Genomic DNA, 22,320 nt, shown 5'->3' with positions numbered 1-22,320 from the left:
TGAGTTGCAGCAGCTGTTGGAAAGCAAGTAGTTCCCAAAATAACATTTTAAAAATACATAGTAACATTTTCATTGACAAAATGGCACCTTTAGGACATGTTCTTTAAATGTAAATCAATTTCTCTTTATTCCAGAATCTATTGGTTGATTATTTCTTTTCCTTCTTCTCAAATATTCCTTACATTGTGTTTTTGGTTTTCACATTTTCCTTCTTTCCTATGAAAGAATATTCACTGCTCTCATCATCATTTGGTAACAGATAGGCTCTTAGGATTATAATATACAGGCTAATCAATTGACTTCATATTTTGCTTTCTCACTTGCTTTGTAAATGTTTACTAATAATAGGGAAGTATATACTTACAAGTTGCAGAACAACTCACTAACCTAATTGTTTATTAGTTTGCTAGTTACTAAAAATTATGTACATATATCCCAATTCAGTAGGAATATTGTCCAGAAAAAAATGACTTTGAGAACATAATTATTTCTACCATACAATCAAATGCTCAGCCATAATCAATAATATATATTTATTCTTTAGTTACTGATCACTCAAAAATATATTTAAATATTATCATAATCTTTTTCAAATGTCTTCGTTTTGTTTAGTCCTACCAATTAATGATATACTCTATTTCGTGACTATTTATTGAGAAAAACATTCTTCTAAAAAATACTTTCCTTTGTTAAGATTTTTAAATGTTCGCAGTTGATTTCCAGTCTAAAAATATATAAATGATCAAAACCCAGCCTGACTAATGGACTCAGTTTATTTCCCTTGAAAGTTAATTCTCATTTCTCCCAGACAAATATTTGACAAAGAATGGCAATCTGAACAGCTTTCACAATTGCATATAAGTCTGATATTGAGGCAGTGCATTGCATACTTCATTAGTTGTTGATGGAGCCAACTGAAATATCTTTTTAAATAGCTACTAAAGTTAAACATTTCAATTATACAGTGATTTAAAATAACATATTTAAAGTTTAGCTATCATTAACCTTATACACTATTGGGTTGATTTGATAATAATTTTATAGACTCGTTTCTCAACTACTAAGTACCCTCACAGTCAGAAAAAAATACTAATTCTTCCCTTAAATATGTTACCATGCTTGACTTTGGGTTTTATTTTGCAACATGTATTGGCAAAATGTAACTGTAAGATGTGTTATGTAGAATACTTGCTTTTAATATTAAGAAGAATATTAAGAACATTCTATAAGGCAAAAATGGCTAACATTTCTTAGTACGATTATTTCCCATGGATTAATGGTATTTAGGTTCAAATGGATTTAACAAGGCAAGTCAGAGTTAATTAATGAAAGCACAAAAGTATTTCCCTTATTATTGATTATCCCATAGCAATAGCCCTGTGAGCATAAACATGCAATCAGTGTTCAAAGGACTTATATGAATAATTGTTAACACCTATTCGGAATTTGCATGCCACTGTGGCTTGATTTCTGGATTACCAGAGAGTAAGTTGTCTTCATATAATGAGTTTTATTAGAGATAGACAATTTACTTTTAAATTACATGGTTTCAAATTTTATTTCTATTGAATTTTACATTGTTAATTATTAATATTATTAAATGTTGACAGCCTATTCTTGGATTTTTCCAAGTGTTTAAAATTTCATTTAAACAATTCCAATTTTCTTTCTTTTTAAAGAAACCGTATCCTCTTTCAGTGCACTTTAATGAGTTACACTCTTTTCTGGGTTCCGATTTCATGTTTGCTAGTCTTCTATCAGGATGAAAAATAATTTTAAGTAAATTTTATTTAAAAATAAATAAAAACAATAAATGAAGCAACATTTTTCATAATGTTGAGCACTACAGATCGTACGTACACAGTTGCAACCTGTGCTATCCTATCAGTTGTTTCTAAATTCTATCCATTGGACTGGCAAAATGGTGTTTCCAAGACTTAGTACTTAACAGAGCTATGCTCACTATCCCATAATTCATAGCAGAGATTCATTAGTCTTTGTGAGGATAGCCAGAACTAGACAATATCTTATTTTCAAATTTGCTAGGATAGCAGCTATTTAGAATTGACAGTCTGTAACTTTAAATTTAATTGGGAGAAATCTCTAGAGGAGTTAATTATGGTACATTTTTTAAAAAGCCATATGGGGGAGTTACTTTCAGAGAGCAGCATTTAAGACATTCCAAATTTTTGCAAAGTTCAGAAATTTGTAACTTGGCAGTCCTAAACAAAGGTTTAATTTGAGGCACACTTACCATCCAGTAAATTTAACACACATAGGTTACAACAACTTACAAGATTTGTTTTCCTACTTTAATCCTACTTTTTCTTTGTTTTCTGATCCAGGCATTAGTTTTGCTTATATTTCTCTCTATTGTCTTATTATGAGAAATAGGAAATCAACAATATTGAATCTGCTAAACCACCCACTAGTCATGAAAATCTTGTCTTGTCCATCTTTACCTTCCTGATAATTATTAAACAGTTGCTGTTGTTGTTTCATCAGAGTAACACGTAACCTCGGCCTAAAGTCAATCTATTGTTGCTCTGCCTAGTTTGCCTTTACTATGCCTCATCTTTGCTGTACTTTTCTTTAAAGCATCAATTCCATAAATTTCTCCAGCAGGTTTATGTAGAGTATAGTTAACCTATAATAATTGTGTCAAACTAAAACTCAGCTTGTAATTCTTTGAATGCTTCACAGTAATTTTATTGGTTTTCCCTTTTAAAATTTGAGCAGTTTCTCTGTAGGCTCCTGACATTTAAGGGGTGAGTCACTTATTCTCAATATTTAGTTTCAGTATTAATATTATAATTCTTCATAGTTTATTCAATGCGGACTTCATCTGGGGATGCCATGACTCTCTGAGATCTTATCCATCACTCTCTGTTGGATTTCTTTGAACTCCAGGCACCTCTTCTTATTTAACAAAAATATCTTCTCTTTTACTATTACGTTTAGAACAACCAGACCTGAAAATTTCACTCTTTTTCTTTTATACCTTTCGCCCTCATATTTAAGAACGTATTTCCCATTCTTAGCTTTCCAGCCTATGTTTTAACCTAAAAGCTTCGAAGTTCAGGATAGCCGATTAAAGCCAACCACACAGGCCAGTAATGGTGACTCATGCCTGTAATCCGAGCACTTGGGGAGGCTGAGGTGGGAGAACTGCTCAAGCCTAGGCATTTGAGACCCAGCCTGGGCAGCAGAGTGAGACCCTGTTTTTACAAAAAATAAAAATACATTAGACAGACATGATGGCATGTGCATGTAGCCTAGCTACTCCTAAGGCTGAGACAGGAGGATTGCTTGAGCCTATGAATTCGGGGTTACAGTGAGCTACAATTACACTGTATGGAATGATAGATGGTCCCTTCAGATTTAAAACCTACATGGGCCTGCCCCCCAAAATTCCTGTGTTTCTGAATAAGGTTCAACTCACCAAATTGTACTTAGAGACTATATTTGAGTATTTTAGGGCACAATAAATAGAAACTCTCTTCTTTGCCTAAGTTCAGAATTTATTTGTTGACTAACAAAATAGTCAATTAGAAATCAAACTGTCAGCCATATTTCCAGTAAAGCTGGTAGAGCATGGCTTAGGTAAATAGTGGGGAAAAAAAAAGCATAACTGGAAGCTCCAAATAGTTAAATCTACCTGACACAGAAAGATTTGGTTAGTCACAGACTTTCAAGTTGCACAGGTATAAGCCCCCCATAATATTAAAAATAACATTTATGGTATTATAATTTGATAAATTTGTTACTTTAGAATCAAGAACTATGAGCTTACAAGGGAATTAATAAAATTTAATGTCATCAACATTCTTGCTTAAGCAAGTTTTGAATCATCAGTGTTAATTATATTTTTATTATATATCTCATTAAATTTCTTACTTTTCTCCCCTGGAATATATTTAGTTGTCAGTTTCACATGTCAGCATCTCTAGAAATGTGATGATAGGGCAAGTGGCAAATTCCTTAAGTCATTAGAGACCTGAAAATATGTGTCACACCTAACATCAGTTGATAATTGCCTGAAACATATAACTATTGGTTAAAAATAATTTGTCCTCAGACCTTTGAAGTTATGGCTCTTCTTGCTTCTAGTTATGGCTAATGATCAATTGATTGCCATTCTTTTGTATATAACATGTAGGATTTCTTTTTCCTCTCTCTCTCTCTCTCTGTTTTATTTATTTATTTTTGCTTTATCTTTGGTGTTCAGAAATGCCGTAAGTAGGTGTCTATTCAAATGTTTTGTTTCATTTTTCTACCTTATTCTTTCAAACTGAAGACTTGTTATGCTGGACTATCTGACAACTGTTACTCTAGAGGACTCACATTTCTACACTCAATTTTCATTCCAAGAACCTTAGTCTTATAGAAACTTCTGGGATTAAAGATGAGGATGTCTGTTTCAACAGTAATTCACCTCTCTAATTCTCAAGACCATCCTGAATAGGCAGTGAACATATTAAAATTGATAGAATATCCATTGAATTGTTATTTATCTCCAGCAATATAAATGATGAAATATTTAGCTTAATTCTTTATCTGCTAATGTTTTCTCTTGCCTCGTAACATTATATAATTTTTTTAGTAAAGCATATATCCATGCTGAAATCTTCTCTATTTTGTAACTTAAGTTGAAAGATATCATACGAATGTTAATATACTAATTTATCATTTTCAATCTTTAGTTACAATAAAGATAATATATTATTATATGTTAGACTTTTCTATGTATTCTGAATGGTTAACACTGCTAAAGGAAAATAGATTTCATATGTGAACAAATTTTTCAATATCATTAAAATGAAATTAACACCCCGACTCAGCTATCAGCAGCATCCTCTCTCGAGAAGCAGTTTATCCTTGGAGCAAAGCAGTCACACTTAATTACTACCAATAAATCTTTATGTTAGAATATCACAGACATAAAAGTTAAGCTCTATAGATTTACTTAATTTATTCCCATCACAATCCTGAGGGTCTCCTTCAGTGTGTAATCTTTAATGTGTTTTGAGACTGCACTTTTAATCTTTGGCATTTGGCAGGTTCAGAGTGTACATATCTGTAAGCAAAATAAATGATATGGAAAATATTTATATGTGAAGGTATCACAGAAACTCCACAATATTCTTTCATTTAATACATATTCGTTAAGTGCCTATATGCCAAATTAAACTTTTAAATGAACTGTATTCCAGAACTTAATTTATAAGATGTGTTAGAAGCTCTGAGTACATTTTCCCATCTGAGTATTCTATATACACAGAAAGTAAAAGTCTGTGCTTCCCCCACAAAAATTTGTTTTGTAGGCATGCAGTAGGAACTGTCTCTGGGTAGATAAAGCAAAAAGAAGGATTCACTTGCATGATATTAGATTATCTCACAGATTACAGAAACAACAGAGCCAGGATATCTCACAGATTACAGAAACAATAGAGCCAAGATATTCCCAAAACTTTGACAATAAGAGATCATGAGAGATTTTCCCAGTCTTGTCACAAACACATATATTCTCCTTCATCCCATTCCAAAAATGAAGTCCTTAGATGAAATCCTTTTATGGCCTAGTTTGGAACAGATATTTGTGCTTGGATCAGTTTGTTTATTTTAGTCGAGGGTTTATTTAGTACAGACACAATTACTGCAGGAAAATTCCTCGGCAACTAATTCAATGAATATAATAATATACAACATTTTAGAACCTAAAACCAATGCTTTCAAAATTTCTCTGGAAAAATATGTCCCAGTTTCCTACTTGGAACTCCAGAAGCCTGTCTTCTCTGTTTTCACTAAAATAGAGCTGCTGTTGCTTTGCCATGTGATCATGTATAGCCCTACCTACCTTCAACCAAAGACAATTATAAGAATTCCCTGAACGTAAATAATAATAATATCCCAAGGATAAGGGTCAGAATGCACTGAAATTTGTTAGTAAAAAGAAAGCTAAGGAAAACCAAAGTGTTCTCTTTTAGATATATTTAGATATATTTGATCTATTTAGAGGAAGGAAAACAGCACAAAAGGAATAGAGTTGCTGTTTTGAGCCAGCAGTTCAATGTTAATATATTAACAAAGTGAGTAGAACAGAAGCCCTGTGCTGGCTCCATAATTTCTGCCAGGAGAAACATTTTTGATCTGGAAAGAGTAAAATAAAAATTAGTATATGAAAAATTAAAATCAAGATAGTTACATATAATAGAAGATAATGTCATTTTCTAAATAAATTCTTATTTATCTTAATTGATGTAAATCCTGGATTAATATTAATAGAACATGAAAATGATAATTTTTCATTCTTTTGCTCAGTATGTCCCAAGAAATGTTTTAAATTACTGATATTTGAATTAGGTAGTTCTGTTCTTCAAAGAGCTTGTAGAGAGATGGACATGAAAACTAATTATTGCATTTAAGTATTTCAGGGTTCATGATCACTTTTTAAATCTTTGTGGAGAATGAGAAAAGTGCCGAAAACTCAAAGGCACCCTAATGTTCTTATTTACAAGACATTCTCCCAGCTAAAGACAAATAACCAAAGGGGCTTCACAAATGAATTGATGATGACTAAGTGAAACAGAAGGTGGCATAACCCAGCACTTTCACACATGATTTAAATAAGAACATCAGATTTGTCAAAGTGTGAAGCTAGAAGGCATAGCTCAGTTTTTAGATAAAGAATATACTTAAGGATGATTTTTACAGAGGCATCCAAATCTGACAAGATGAAATTTTATAGAGGAATTTTTATAATACTGCAGCCAGCTTTAGGACTATACTTACTGATTTCCTCTATATAGGGGAACATATATAATTTACCTGTAGCTCCTAAGAAAAAACTTTCTACAAGGTAGGCAAATGAGCAATGCCTGACAAATAATTTAATGTTTTTCAATATCCGTAATAGCAGTAACAGGGTCAAAATTCGATGCATTTACCAGATTGTAGCTGGGTATTGTGTTCATTTCTGGGAAAGTTACTTAAAGTGGATTAAAACCAGCATATGTTCAGAGGAACATGACCATACTAGTGAGATGACACAAAGCCATGTCCTCAAAGACTGGTAGAAATAGGAATATGTGGTATATACAGAACAAAGATATAGATGCTGCCAACAGAATGAACAACCAAACGTGTTCTTTATGGCCTTGTGATAAGACCTTAGGCCAGAAGTCAGGGGTTAGTACAGATAAATTGAGCTGACTGTAGGAGAATTATTAGCAATCACAGAGGTAGGAAGAAAGAATTGACCACTTTGAAAGGGAATTGTTCACCATAATTATGTCTAATATTGACCTGACAGGCATATGTACATAGTAGGATTATTGCATCGAGGATTCAACTTTTGGCTGAGAGTTTGAACTACCTGCTTTTTAAATTGTCCCTGCCCTGAGATTCTGTGATCCTCTGTAAAATTCAGAAGAGAACTGAACAGAGGAGAATCTTTGAATTTTTAACATATAGATGCTGGCATATTGTAAGTATTTAAAATACATTTCTCAAATAATTGAATGTATAAACAGAAGCTGGATAAGGAAAGAACTCTAGGATAAAGAAGAAAACCTGAGAAAATGTAATAGGAGTTAGGGCAGTGATTTCTACCCAGGTGACCAAACCTGAAACCTGGGTTTCTTCTTTGCTTCTGCTCTTCCTTGTCCTAATTCTTCCTCTACACACGTCCATGTACTATTACCAAATGTAGTCAATTGCATTTTTTAAAAAAAATCTCTCAAATCTGTTGATTTTCTTCTTTCCAGCTCAAGCCATCATACTACAATAGTCTTTCTGCTTCTAGTCTTGCCTTCCTATAATCCGTTAGTCACGCTTAAGCTAAACAGACCTATCTAAATCTTATTTTTTAGCTGCCTAAAACCCCTCAATCACTCCCTAACAACCCTAGGATTAATTTCAAATGGCTTTATGTAGTCCATAAATCCCTACATTATCTGCTCCCTGTGTATCTCACCAGCTTTATCTCTCTGCTTCCCATCTTGCACTTCATGGTCTTGATATACCTAATATCTATTTGTTTTGTTCCTGATTACTCTTACCTCCTTGTGTGCATATATTCTGCTTCATTTTTTTCCTCATCCTTTGCATGCTAATGACATTATCTATTTTATATGTAATATGTACATAATAATCACATTGATTAGTTGTAATGTGCTAGGCAATGCACTGTTCTATGCATTTTACATGTGTTATCTCTAATATTTTTCACAAAGCCTTTAATGTAAAAACTGCTATTTTCTTTTATGCATCAAGAAATATAGCTTTCCAGGCACTGTGTTATACAAAAATGTAGATCTCCAGAGCCCAGTTTTCCTTGGAATTATTTAGTATCTAAGAATAGGGCTGTGATTTAAAGAATATGTAGTCCAATCTCAACTGCACTTAGAATATCCTATATAACTTTTAATGTTAATGGTCTATATAGGGAGTGAATGAAGAATTCCCCAGTCTCTTTATACTCTGGAAAGGGTAGCATATTTTTTTCCTCTAGAGAATAATTAGTTTCTTATCTGCCCCTACCCTATCCTTAAAAATGAGCAACAAATGTATTCAAACCAGTCATGCTTTTAAAGAGTGGGGATGGGGAGGATTTCAAAACACGAGATGTAGCTGTTTTATAAAATTGACTTTTTCTGATATAATTAGCCACACATAATGTTCCAATGTTTGATATAAGATATAATAATGTGAATGTTCCCTAATAAATAAACCATGTAAGGAATTTAAATGTGTGCTTGAATCAATCTAAATTATTCATTCCAGTAAAACTTACAAGAGAGTGTCTAATAGCAAGAATAATTATGGCTTTTTAAATAAAAAAATCAAATTAAAGTATATTTAAATATAATGCTGACATCTTAATCTAGAATTTTCCACATCTGTTCCTGTTAATATAAAATCTCATATAAGCTTTGTATAGTATTTTTTATAAGATCTTTGGAGATTTAGTTTCTTCCCATAGTTATTTCAAATGAGCCATTCATGAAGTAAATGTATCTGTCTCCACACTTCTAAGAAGGGCAGTAATTACGTATAGTCTCTCTCTTGCCGGGGTTTTACAGACAAAAAATTCAATACAAAAAGACTTCATACATATATATGTGTGTGTGTGTGTATTAAGTATATTTTCGTAGACACACACACAAACATAAAATTAAATATCTTTGGTTCAGATTCTCCATAATTGAAATTTTAATTTGAGGCTTAACTGTATTAGGTTTGCTAGGCAGATGATTAACAAAATTCTTAGAGCAATAAAGATTTCTTAAACTCCTTTAAGTAGTCTCAAATATTTTAGTTATTTGAAGTCAATATTAACTTAAAGAAAAGTTATATTTAATGTGATGAGGAACCACATTTAAACTTCTGAACCATTTCTTTCATTTGTAAGAATCACTAGAAACATGCTTAAATATTTATCTTTAAAGGCCCCATCATCTGTCTTTAAGTAGGAATTTTAAGCAGTTCTTGATGTCACCCTCGTATGCTCTGATATCCACATAGATCACCCATTCAAAAACTAACCTTTTGATTTTACAACTTTATTGCTTCCATTGTTGTTCATTACCCCAAGTCAGACACTCTTCATGGTCCTATTCTGAATCTTGTCATCACCACAAATCATGCTTCTTTCAAACTTACCAATTCAAGCATCTCATTTCTTGCTAATCACAGTCTTCCCACCTTTGATCTTGCTTTATGAACTTTTTCTTCTATCATCTTTATTTAACCTCTATCCTTTTCCAGTGCATTATCACCTTTCTGTTTTCCCCTCTCTCCTGGTTTAGCTTAGATCACGTCCATAATTTCAACACCCTCAAAATTTGTTAAATTTCTTCACTCCACTTTCATTTGGTCACATCTACATATAACAACCACACCCAATGATGAATTTTCTTTCTCCATGTGTACATTTTGGCACATCTGTGCTGTTGGAGAAAATTACAGCAGAGAAATTAGAAATAGTTTCATTGTGAAATTCAGCATTACCTAGTAATCCCAAGAGTTTTCTTTCATTAGTGTTGTTCTACTCTCTGCAACTCTTGTTAGAAACCTCCACTCTCCTCAAACTTGAATCTTCTGCTGATGAGTTTACATTCTAGCTTAGAGAGACAGAGAGACAGAGAGAGAAACCATCCAAGTGCCCTGAATTGCTTGATGCCAAATATACACTAACACTTGCCCCATCTGTCTTATTGTAGAAAACTAGGCTATTCTTTTACTCAGATCATCCCTTTCCATTTTCTTAGTCATTTTGTGCGGAATTCTCCCTTGCTTTCAACTTCTGCTCCTGTCTTTTTTTTTCCCCCATCAGCATTTAAACATTCTCAACTTTCACCTATTAAAAAAAATATTTATTTATTTTACTTTTCCATTTCAGTTACCAGCCATTAACTACTCAATTTGATGTTAATAACTAATTTAAAAATATGTCTGAATCACCAACTTGAACTTTACAAAGCAAGAGTCAATTATATTCCAAATATAAAACTCATTTAATGAATTGTTTCTTATTTGAAGTTTTCAATCCAGAATTGACTAGTTTATAACAGAAGAAGGTTCATTCAATTGTAGGAGATCTGGAAGATCAAGGTGAGGAAACTGAAAAGTTGAAGGCTCTCATTTTGAAATATAAGACATATGTTTGCTGGTCATTTCTTCTTCTCCTGACTGAATATATGCTGATGTTGGCAAGGAAAACATAATGTCAATAATTGGATCTGATCTCATTCATTAGATGGTAACATAACCTATTTTTTTATGTTAATTAAAACTTACTTGCCAATTACTCACAATGGTCTTTCACTGAAGAATATTTATTCTTGACAGAATCTTTCTTACTATTAACATAGCCTTGACACTTCTGACATGGAGAGAAAAATAATGAGGCTATATGCTACTATAAATAAATATGTGTAGAAAAGAATGTATCAATATTTACAATAAGAAAAATTAATCAGAAAAAACTTCTCTGCAAATATATATTACCTCCTATATGAAGTTTATAATATATTAGCACAAAATATGGGTCATTTATAACTATAGATTTTTGTCTTTTGCAGAACACATTTGTTTGAAAGTCATGAGGTGAAATTCTTAACATTCTAAAGTGATATAGCTGCTTGAAATAGTTCTTAACTTTATTTACTATGGAAGAGAAGAAAGCTCATAAAAACTATGAGAAATCAGATAATTTATACGAATTGATAACAAAAATATTAGAAATTTGTGCAATGCTTTTTGAGCAGTATCTTTTAAATTTGTGTTTTCTGTTTATTTTCATATTTTATCTTATATTTTATATTTTAAGGTATTTATACTGTGTAAGTTTTCTATTTTAAAAAATGATCAAGGAACATCTAATAAATATTAGGTTTCACTACGTGCAAATTTAATCAACTTGTTTTATAGGGAAGTGATTCCTAGATAGCTAGTAGGCTCAGAAAGATTATGTTGTCCATGGTGATAACTAGTCCCAAATGCTTTTGGCAATTTTCCTGGAAAGCTCAGAAATTGCCTATTTTTTCAGAGCTCATCGTAGAGTTCACAGGTATGTTGACAAGAAAATCATTTTAAAATCTAAAAACTATCTCCTTTTGGTCTTAATTTCATTTCTGTGGGGTGTATGATGTGAAAAATATGATAAATTTCTTGGGACAGTGTAGTGCCAGTGTTTATGAACATTTCTGCTTTTGTTTATGTGAAAATCTAAGGAGTTTCCCACAGATGCTGTGGAGTTAAGGCCAAAAATATGCATTTTTTTCAAAGTGCCGATTTAATAAAAAGTACACGGTTTCTCTGAATGAATGCCTTGAGAGGAGGCATGTGCAGGGTGTTCCATTGCACATCAATCTTTTCTTTATAATAATTGTGCGATAAAAAAGAAGATGCTCTAACTTGCCTAATTTCTGACATAGGAATTTCTGCTTTCTATTTTGTTATATTGAACATGTTTTATGAGTTGTAGTAACAATTTTATTTTTTAATAATTAGGCTATTATGCTTGTAATATATTTTTAAAACAATACTCTCATGAATTTTTGTTGAATTATTTAACTTCCATATTTTCTCAATGCCTCTACTACATCCAGGGAGCAAGTGGGTTCTTCAAAAGCTATATGTGTATCAATGTCGTTTTAGTGATGATTTCTGGTAATATTGGTGAACCAATATAATTTATGGATGTTTCCCCAAAAACAACATTTATAAACACCTATTCAAATAATTAAATATTTCTACCACTGAAAGAGCCACAATAGACACAAACTTGATGTTTATTTTGCCAGTCAAATAGAGAAGGAAGTAATATGGCCACCGAAGAAGAGGAATAGAACATTTTTACACTTTCTTATGTTCTGATTACTAGCCATATATGTTTACCAAAATAGTAATTATTATTACAGCATTGGTTGGAATAATAACATTATGGATCTGGAATGGACTTTACACATTTCTATTGCCAGGGATTGTGTTGAGGAAATTGAAGATCAGAATCTGCTAATAATTTTGACCAAACTGTGTATGAGAAATAGAATCTAGATTTTCAGATCCTCAAACTAGGAAGGACATTCTTCACTTCAAGTTGCTGCCCATTCTAATGTCTGCTGTTCTTTTTTCTTGGGCCTTAGCAGTAGGCTTATAAAGCTATATAAAAATCTAAGTGCCAATTAATAAGTTATTGTTTCTACTGGTAAAATAGCATGGAAGTGGCCTGAGGTAAAGAATGTCCTTTACCAAGATTTCTTGATTTCCTCCTGGGATGTACTCGAGGCTGGGAAAATGTGGTCATGCATGTTTCAGAGTGGCTCATACTCAAGACATAGACTTATTGGTCAACTATTAGAACTACCCTCAGCCTGACTATGCTTTTCGACGCAGTGAGTATGTGTGTCATGATGAAATACAAAATGGCACCATGTCTTTCTCATACCTGAGCTTTCTCACATCTTAAATAATGCTCTTGTTTTATTCCATGGTTTTCTTTGGATTGAACTGTATCCATTAACATTTGTGTGCTTTTCTTTTCCATCCGTCCTTCTCCATCTCATGAAAAGCACATCTGGGTAAGTTGAATCACAATGGCTGCTGAACATGTTTATTTTCAGCGCCATCTTTTTTTTTCTTTTTTCAGAGTATTACTCTTTTGAGTTGTAACACAAGCTGCACTGCCTCTGACCTGAAATGAAAATCATGAAGCATATTTATTTCCACACAGTAAAAGGAATCATTGGTTCAGAGAAATGTTCACATTTTAATTAATTATGTAAGCTTTTGGGCACTTGTATTTCTTCAGTTTTATTATACACATGTCAAAAGACATTCTAGACTCCTTCCCTCTAGTTTTCAAGTAATTCCCTAAAGGGTCAATGTGGCAAGCAGCCAGGCTCAAGTCATACTTTGAGACCACTCAGGTACTATTGATTGTGCTGCCTGTCTGAATTGCCTCCACCTTTCTTTCTTTCTTTCTTTCTTTTTTTTTTTTTTTTTTTTGAGACAGAGTCTTGCTATGTTGCCCAGGCTGGAGTGCAGTGGCGCGATCTCGGCTCACTGCAAGCTCCGCCTCCCAGGTTCATGCCATTCTCCTGCCTCAGCCTCCCGAGTAGCTGGGACTACAGGCACCCACCACCACGCCTGGCTAATTTTTTGTATTTTTGGTAGAGACGGGGTTTCACCGTGTTAGTCAGGATGGTCTCGATCTCCTGACCTCATGATCCACCCGCCTCGGCCTCCCAAAGTGCTGGGACTACAGGCGTGAGCCACCACGCCGGGCCGCCTCTACCTTTCTTAATGTTCCACCTGTGTTATGTTCAAGAGACAAACTTATTCATCAATGAATAGAACGGCACATATCTGAAAAGGGTTAAATGCTGTTCTTCCCTGGAGAGCTTTTACATATAGAGAGCCAAGAATAATCCTTGGTTTTGGTTGAATGTGTGTTGTTCCCATTGTTTCCTGTACTACTGGTTGATTTCTAAAGCTTTAAAAACCTGAATTACTCAGATAATGGCTTCAAATTTTAAATCCTTTTCTTTGAGCTAAAATTAGAGTATTTATCTATTCCTAACAGAAATTTGACTTCAAAGTAAAAAAGTAAAATAAAATATGCATAATATTTACATTGGTGTAGACTACTGCATTTGTAACATGGTGAGCTCATTAAAACACTTTGGACTGAGAAGAAGGTATTGCTTTTAAATTTAAAGCAGTGTTATTTTTTATCAATAAAATGACTGCAATGAGATACAATTATCCAGGAAACTATTAAACATATTACTAGTTGGCTATATAAATATTTTGTATGCCAGTACAAATTCTTGTACTTTGTAATATTACTTTATTAACTAGTAAGGTTTATATTATTTTTAATATAATTTTAAGTTACAGTTGCCATTGCCAAAATGACTTGGTGATGTATTATTTGCTTCAGTTAGGATGTTTTACAATATTGAGGAATTAAGAAAAGCTCTAGTAAGGTGTTCTTAAAAATGCAAGGCAGGTTTTGTTTAGAGTACTCGTCAACCATGTTGGCCAAATGAATATTGTAAGCTCTTTTTGAAAATAACAAATATTATAGACATTGAGTTTTAAAACACAGTTTTCATGTCATCATATAAATTGTCTTCTGTTTTCTAATGATTTTTAATTTTTCAGAGGAAAATAATTTCAAGAAATAAAACTTAATTCCCCTGAGTCCTTATTGAATTAAATATTGAAAAACAATGAATGAATGATGCATTCTTATTAATGGACTGTAAGAAACTGATATAATGGACTTCATTCTACAATTCGGTTTCTTATTGTCTTACACATGCTCCTCGAACTTAAACATTTTAGGACCTTAACACCATTTCCCTAGTACAATTACTAAAAGAAAGCTTTGGATAATATAATATCAGGGAAGATAGTACAACATAGTGAAGATGACATAGGAAGATGTGAGGAGCAAACAACACTGAATTAGGAATCAGAAGATAGAGTTTAAATTCCATCTTCCCCACTTACTTGCTACATGGCCCTGAGTGACTGACATATTCTTTGTACTTACTAATATTATTATCTACTTGTCTGTACCTTCAGAAGCATACAAACTATACACTTCCAAACTGGGTAAAAGAGGGCTTAAAATTAGATGAAACACTAGAGCAATCTAATCTAAGTGGTATTCATATAACCTGAAAAATTACAATATTCTCCAGTAGGTCCCCAATTACTATTAGGAAGTGACTGGAAAGTACAGACTATGGTGTCTTGCAAAAGTGAAATTGTTTAATGGGGAGGAATATAAGCCCCTCTCATTTTCAATAACAGCATAAATAATTGTATGATTCAATCATATTTGTGTGTATGTGTGTGTGTGTCAGGGGGGTATTTATACCTTTTTAATGGCTTTGAAAATATTTAAATTCAAAATACAGTAAGGAAGGAGATTACATAACTCGCAACTCAATTCCCAAATACATTTCTTTCCTGAGACTATGCCCTATATTTCAGAGAAGCTTGAAGATAAACGGTTTAAATATGAATGAATTTTAGTTCCAATGTAATGAAATTATTTGAAATCTAAACAGCCTAGCATGTTTTACTGGAATCTGAATAAAACACTACTTAAATATGTCATGGATTTTCATACATTTTCACCAAATGTGAAAATATGCAATAATAGGATACACAGGCACACACGCTTGCACTTGCACATACACAAAATCACAGTATGCTTTGCTTTCAAATCAAGTCAAATTTAATGTTGAATTTGAAACTCTTAATTTTATGAAGCTAAATATGTATAGTTAGGTAATCAATCTTCTGAAGCAACTGATTGGAATTTGTAACATATTTCTGTTTAGAATAATTATGTTAACTAAGATATACATGTTCAGCTTGCAGATGTTAAAAAAAATAATTGAGTTGGCACCATACTTTGCATTTGCTGACCAGAATTTCAACTAGCTTCTCAAATATGTAGTTTTAGTTTTTACAGACTTAATCAAGTATGGATTCCTGAATAATAAGTCCATTCTTTGGTTGAAATTTGAGGAGGTTACATCCTATTTACCCTCTTGAAAGCTGAATTTTAGTGAAACAATATACATTTTACAATTAATAATAGTGTGAAGTCTGTGTACATTTCCTGCTACTATTATGTAAGGAAGATTTATTTTCTGTGATGCAAAATTAAGTATATTGCATTGTCACATTATTTGACTTATATTTTATTCTTCATTCTTATCAAGCCACATATGTATTTCTTCTGGTTTTATCAGTAAGTACTTCTTATGTGCCATAGTAAATCAGTAGCTCTGAAGGTAAATTTTTCACCCAGAGAATTATTTTGTATGGTTATTACAAAATCAATTGAAATGAAATGAATGGCAACAAATTCAACTTTTCTATCTCATTCATTTAAACTAGGCTAACTTTTCTCTGGCCAAGATGTACAACCTGATATTACTAGGGAATAACAAGAAAAGAAAAGCCACAGTTCGTTTGTTCTTTTATAATGCTGAGGATTGAAATGTGTGACAATAAGAAGGTAAAGACCTTATGTATTAACCAGGAAGTCAAATAAATGTATGCCACTTCTAAAAACAAATGAACCATAGGAAAAGAAAGAAAAGTAGGGGACCATTATTTTATTTTACACTTACAATAAGGAAGGTGCTATTATCCTCATTTTTCAGTTATGAAAAATTTCAGAAATGTTAATTGGCTAAGAGATGGCATGGAGGTTAAGAGAGCTGACTCTGTGGACAGGTTATTGGGGTTCAAATTCTGATTCTGCACCTCGACGGTTCCATGACTCCAACTGGCCTCTGTTCTTCGGTGTTCTCATCTGCAAATGTGTGTCAATATGTATCTTATTGGATTATTATGAAAATTAAATGAATTAATACACATAAAAACACTTAGGATAGTGCTTCATAGGTAGTAAGTGATAAATGCACATTAGTTACTGTTTTGTGTGATCCAAAGCCTAATTTGTCTGCATCCAGAACCTTTGCTCTTTCAAACCACTATATTTCATCTTATAAGAATATGAACTGGTTCAGATGAACAGGAGAGCGCATTAGATGTATCTCAATTATAGCACTTACTGTATTAAATTGTAATGCAATTTATTTAATTATATTTAGATTACATTTTAAATTTTAAGTGAAAGTATAATAAGTACAAGTATAATAGATACAAGTTATGGTATTTGCATAGAAGAGAGAGTTAATTCTGCCTGGGAGAGGACTTAGAATCTTAATAGAAAAAAATAAAGCATGAGTTCTGTCTGAAGGATAAGTTAAAGTTGTTATGATGGTGATGTGAAGAAGGATGCTCTTGGCAGAAGAAAAGGGCATATAGCAAGACATGGAGGGGTAAAATCGAATGAGGTATTTGGGTAATAGCAAATATTTGTGTTAGTTGAGCAGAAAAAGCCAGGGAGACAGCCAGATTGTGAAGCGTCTTTGTGTAAGATATTTGGCCTTTATTTTGAGGACAGTCAGGGAGGCTTTTAAACAGGTGAGTCTTACAAAAAGATTTGTGTTTAGGAAGGTCTCAGTGGAGGTTGGAAGGGACAAGTTACCAAATGAGAGATAGAGAGATTCTAGGAGCCCATCACCATCATCATCAATTGATGAGGGCTTAAACAAAAGCTTTGGCAGTATTCAGTTAGTCTAGAAAATGTCTTTCTGAATGTTAGATATAACATTGTAATCTTTTCTGCAGCCAACCTGGGTAACTGTGATGCAGAATTCTTATTTCTTTTTGAGATGCAATGAACAGTTGGAAGTTATAAAAATATAGAATACTTTAAAAATGCCCTATAATCAAGGATCCTAGGTGATTGTCAACATTGTGAGTTTTTTGGATTACAATTTAGCAGTCATTCAAAAGATGTTCTTGACTAGAACATCCAGAGAAAGATGCATGATACGGTTGAAGAACAAACTCTTATTTCCAGGATTTTACTGTCTTGGGTTGGAGATGAGGCTGCGGGCACATGGTGGTAACCAGTGATCTCTATGAGTGAGATTGACACTACAGGCTTCCAGATTTTAAAGGAGAAGAGGATAATTGTAGATTGGGCTGATCACAAAATATTTCATATAAAAGGGAAGCCAGGAGTTAAGTAAACACAAGGTTGTTGATAGTTGAAAAAGTAGCGATCAACTTACCAGCTCTGGGAAGTGGTATTTGCAAAGGTGGAATTGGTAATGCACAAACTGTGAAAGTACTTTTCAATTCTGGTTAGAAGGAAAGGTAATTAGATAATTAAATCAAGATTAAACCAGGAATCTCTTTGTAATGAAGATTAAAAATAATCTTTTAGACATTTGAGGAAAGACTGAAGGGGCTTTAGAGGACAGTGCTATGATTATTTAAAGTAAAACCTGGCCAGGCACAGTGGCTCATGTCAGTAATGCCAGCACTTTGGGAAGCTGACGTGAGCAGATCACTTGAGGCCAGGAGTTCGAGACCACCCTGGCTAACATGGTGAAACCCCATCTCTACTAAAAATACAAAAATTTAGCCAGGCATGGTGGCACGTGCCTATAATCACAGCTACTCAGGAGGCTGAAGCAGGACAATCACTTGAACCTGGAAGGCAGAGGTTGCAGTGAGCCGAGATCAGGCCCCTGCACTGCAGCCTGGAAGACAGAGTAAAACTCTGCCAAAAAAAAAAAAAAAAAAACAACGAAACAAACAAACAAACAAACAAAAAACAGTAAGAAAGAAGCTCACATTTATTGACCATTGCCTTTTGTGTGAGTTACTTTTGTAATCATATTACACATATTTTCTTACAAAACCTTTGTAAAAACCCTATTAGATGGGTTATCAGCTTCATGTTCCACATGAGGAAACTGAATCACAGCAAAATACAGTGACTTGTTATGGATGTGCAGCCCAAAAGGACAGGCAAAGGAATCAAGCTCAAGCAATTTGATTTTGGGAGCCACTTTCTCACCCACTCTGCCATAAAGTTTATCTTCCAGGCAGATTTTTTTTTTCTTTAATGTCAGTGTAAGAAGCCTGGAGAGAAGGACCAATTAAAGGCTGAGAAAAAAACTGTGGTAGCAGTGACAATAGAAAGTAAAGGAAGATACATTAGAAAGTATGAAGGGGAAAATGACAGGCATCAAATAGAAGGTGAATGAAATGGCCATCATGAGTGACAGAGGGGACAGTGCTGTATGGTATTTGGACAGTCATACCACAAATTGGCATCCCAGAATAGCATGCTAAAGTGAGAGGTCTGTGAATAAAGTCTCTTTTCACTGACAGAGATAAACCATCCACAGTAGGAAGAATGAGGAGGAGACATACTGTTCCCTATGGTCTGTGACTTTTTTGAGTAACTAATGAATTTCATTTTTCAGAATTGCAAATATAAACACTAACAAATTCAAGTTTTACCATTCCAATATAGTTGCCAATAGGATAGCTATTTATGGAAAGGATTGTCTAATAAGTAATTTTAAATAGTTGAGACATGGCTCATGCCTGCAGGAGATTATAGTGTAGCGGAAATAAGGCTGTGTACATACGGTGAACGGCCTACCAGAGTCTTGCACATGATATGAGTGGCATCACTCAAGGGATAGAGAAAATTTGAATGGTATGAATTGAGGAAAGGCCATTCCAAATGGAGAGAAAGTCAGTAGAACAGAAGAGGTAAAGTGCAAAGAATGGTGAGTATCCATTGTAGCTAGAGAGAATAGATACAGTAGGTAAATCTGGAAATGCAATTTAGGGGCAGATCAAGAATGACCTTAAAGGCCATTCTTCCAATAGTAAATTAAAAGCCATTATAGAAATTGGAGTTATATAGTAAGCTAATAAATATGTTTACTGAGTTATATAGTAAGCTAATAAATGTTTACTTTAAGGAGGTTAATCTGATGGTAGCACACACAATGAATTGCTTTGGGAAAATAAGAAAAAATTGGAGAACGGAAATTAGTTATCTATTGAATACATATTGGCTGCTAGGTGCTTTTGTAAGTATTATCTTATTTAGTTCTTATAAATTGAGATCAATTTATAATCATCTTCAAATATGGGAAAATTAAGTCTCAAAGAGATTAAGTACATAGCCAAAAAACACATAGCTGGTAAGAAGTTAATTTGCCATGCATTCATTCATTCAGTTATGATTTATTGAATGTATGCTGTGTGCCTGAATCCCTATTCCAATAACCTCTCACCATTTCTGCTGCCACAGCTCAGGACAAAGCAACCATTATCTTCTGCTTGAAAATTGAAACAACCTTCTAACTTGTATCCTTAGATCACAACTCTGGCCTGACTCAAGTCCGTGCTATCCTCAACAGCCAGAAATGCCTTTATAATGTACAAATTATTTTATGTTCTTGTGCTTAAACCCTCTGATGGCTTCTTACTATGTTTAGAATAAACTCCTCTTCAGCTCCCAAAGCCCAACATGTTCTTGCTTTTCTCTTGTCTACGTCTCCAATTTCATCTTCCTCCACCACCAACTCCCGTGTCCTTCAATTCACTCCAGTCACACTGGCCCTTCTTGGCTTTTATCAGTTGCTCAAACATTTAATTCCACTCCTTTAATAGGAATTTTATACTATGTTTCTGCTTAAAACATTCCCACCATACCCCTACTCCCTGCCACTTTTCAACGTACATGTTTCTACTCAAATGTTGCCTCGTTATAGACATCTATGTTCCCAGAACACTATAAGCATTGCCTACTTTACTGCCTTAGTCTATTTTACCTCCTGTAGAACACATATCAATGGCTCAACTTATTTTGTTTATGTATGTGTATATGTGTTTATACAAATCTTCCTTCCTCACTGGAATGTATGGTCTTTGAGGTCAGAGATTCAGTTGGCTTTATTCTTTGCTTGCTGCAAAACTTGGCATATAGTAGGTCTATACAAATCAGATGACTGACCCCCTAATCAACTCAGACACAGAGCGTACAAAGTCTCTGCTGTCAAGCCCATGGAGTCAGGGGTCACAACTTGTGAACCAACAAATTCAATGAAACATAAAAGATACTATAGAGAAAATTGCTTAGTACTATGGGGCCTATGTATGAAAGTGGTAGATAATGCCTCCAGGGCAAGAGAAGGATGGATATAGAAAGGAAGCATTTTTGTTGAATCATGAAAATCAAGACAAAGTATGTGGGGAGATAAGGCAGGGAGGCATGTGATGGCATGCAAATGCAAGAGATGGGAGCCAGAGACTCTACTCGTATACCAATTAGACCACAACAACAATCGCTAAGGAGAAACTTAAAACCTAAGAATGAAAATCCAGGCATTTCCATCTGGATTTAGTCATTCAACCAGAGTTGCACCCGCCTGGTTAATTAGTCTGCATTAAAAGTTGGAAATCTGTAGCTTGGCCAATGCTTCTAATTTATATACATTTTCTAGAACCTATTGGTCTTTTATCTAGAAATTTTTGAGTCTCGTCATTTCTTGACTGCACACCCTTTGTTTGCTCCTGTCTTCAGTTCAGGCATAGCAAGTGCAGACTTCCCTCTGCACATTTAGATACGGACTTGCAAATTATTCACAGACCTGAGTGCTCACCACATGTTGGGCCTCCTAAAATATCACTTTCTAGTCACAGTAACTTATTGATATCAATAATAGGAGAACCTGAGGCCTATGGAAGATACTAACAGCATTCTTTATTGAAGAGTGTTTCTTGAAAATGCACAATGATTCAGAAGTTGTACTGTCTCAAAATAACTGTTTCTTGCAATTAGTACTTTTCTTGTTTGTGTTTTGACCCAAGTGATAACACCTCCATGCCTGACACTTCCTCTAAAAGGAAGTACAGCTGATGCCCTCTAAAATCTATTCTGAATCTTAAACCTGAAATGTATGCCCCGAAATTTAGTGATGTACGGGTGATCCTTTGGGAAAAGATGGTCAAATATTTGATTGACTGAAATTATTTTTAAAAACACACTAAAATTATTCTTCAGGCCAACAGGGAAAGAGAGTAATTTTCATAGTTAAATTTGTACTGGGGTAAGTGATCACATTCTTTTTCTGGATGAACTGTCACTTGACCTTTAAAAAAAGTTGAATTCTGGCTACAAAGAAAATCCATTCCAGACTAAATCCCTTTACATACATTGACAGGTTGAACGGAGAACAGCAGTATATCCAAAAGACTTCTTTGTGCCAAATCAGTTTGTCATTTAGGATTTCTTATACAGTTCAGATCACTATTTTTCTGACAGTAACTCCAAAACTTGATGAGAATAAGCATGCCCTTATGTAATTAGTGCTACCCTTAATAATCTATTAG

At 33.7% G+C, this 22,320-nt stretch overlaps 1 protein-coding gene and 1 long non-coding RNA gene across 52 annotated transcripts in view; one reads left to right on the top strand and one right to left on the bottom strand.

Annotated features, from left to right (window-relative positions):
• PPFIA2 (PPFI scaffold protein A2) overlaps positions 1 to 22,320 on the top strand; it is a 501,376-nt gene that overhangs the window by 434,106 nt on the left and 44,950 nt on the right. For 22 of the 51 annotated variants that reach the window (XM_017020108.3, XM_047429786.1, XM_047429781.1 and 19 more), the window contains one exon: positions 13,077 to 13,085. The exons of 28 other annotated variants lie outside the window; for them this stretch is intronic. In XM_017020108.3, the coding sequence (XP_016875597.1) occupies positions 13,077 to 13,085 (9 nt within the window). Of the gene's footprint in view, positions 1 to 10,542; positions 20,449 to 22,320 lie in introns of those variants that run through there. One more of the 51 variants, XM_024449244.2, reaches the window with a different exon arrangement.
• The window catches only part of PPFIA2-AS1 (PPFIA2 antisense RNA 1), a 33,234-nt gene continuing 23,736 nt past the window's right edge, over positions 12,823 to 22,320 (bottom strand). Inside the window, exon 6 of the long non-coding RNA NR_120491.1 lies at positions 12,823 to 13,198. This is a non-coding gene — a long non-coding RNA (PPFIA2 antisense RNA 1). The remainder of the gene's footprint in view (positions 13,199 to 22,320) is intronic.

The sequence above is a fragment of the Homo sapiens genome, chromosome 12 (genome assembly GCF_000001405.40).
Source record: "Homo sapiens chromosome 12, GRCh38.p14 Primary Assembly".
Lineage (NCBI taxonomy): Eukaryota > Metazoa > Chordata > Mammalia > Primates > Hominidae > Homo > Homo sapiens.
This window is presented reverse-complemented; position numbering and strand designations above follow the sequence as displayed.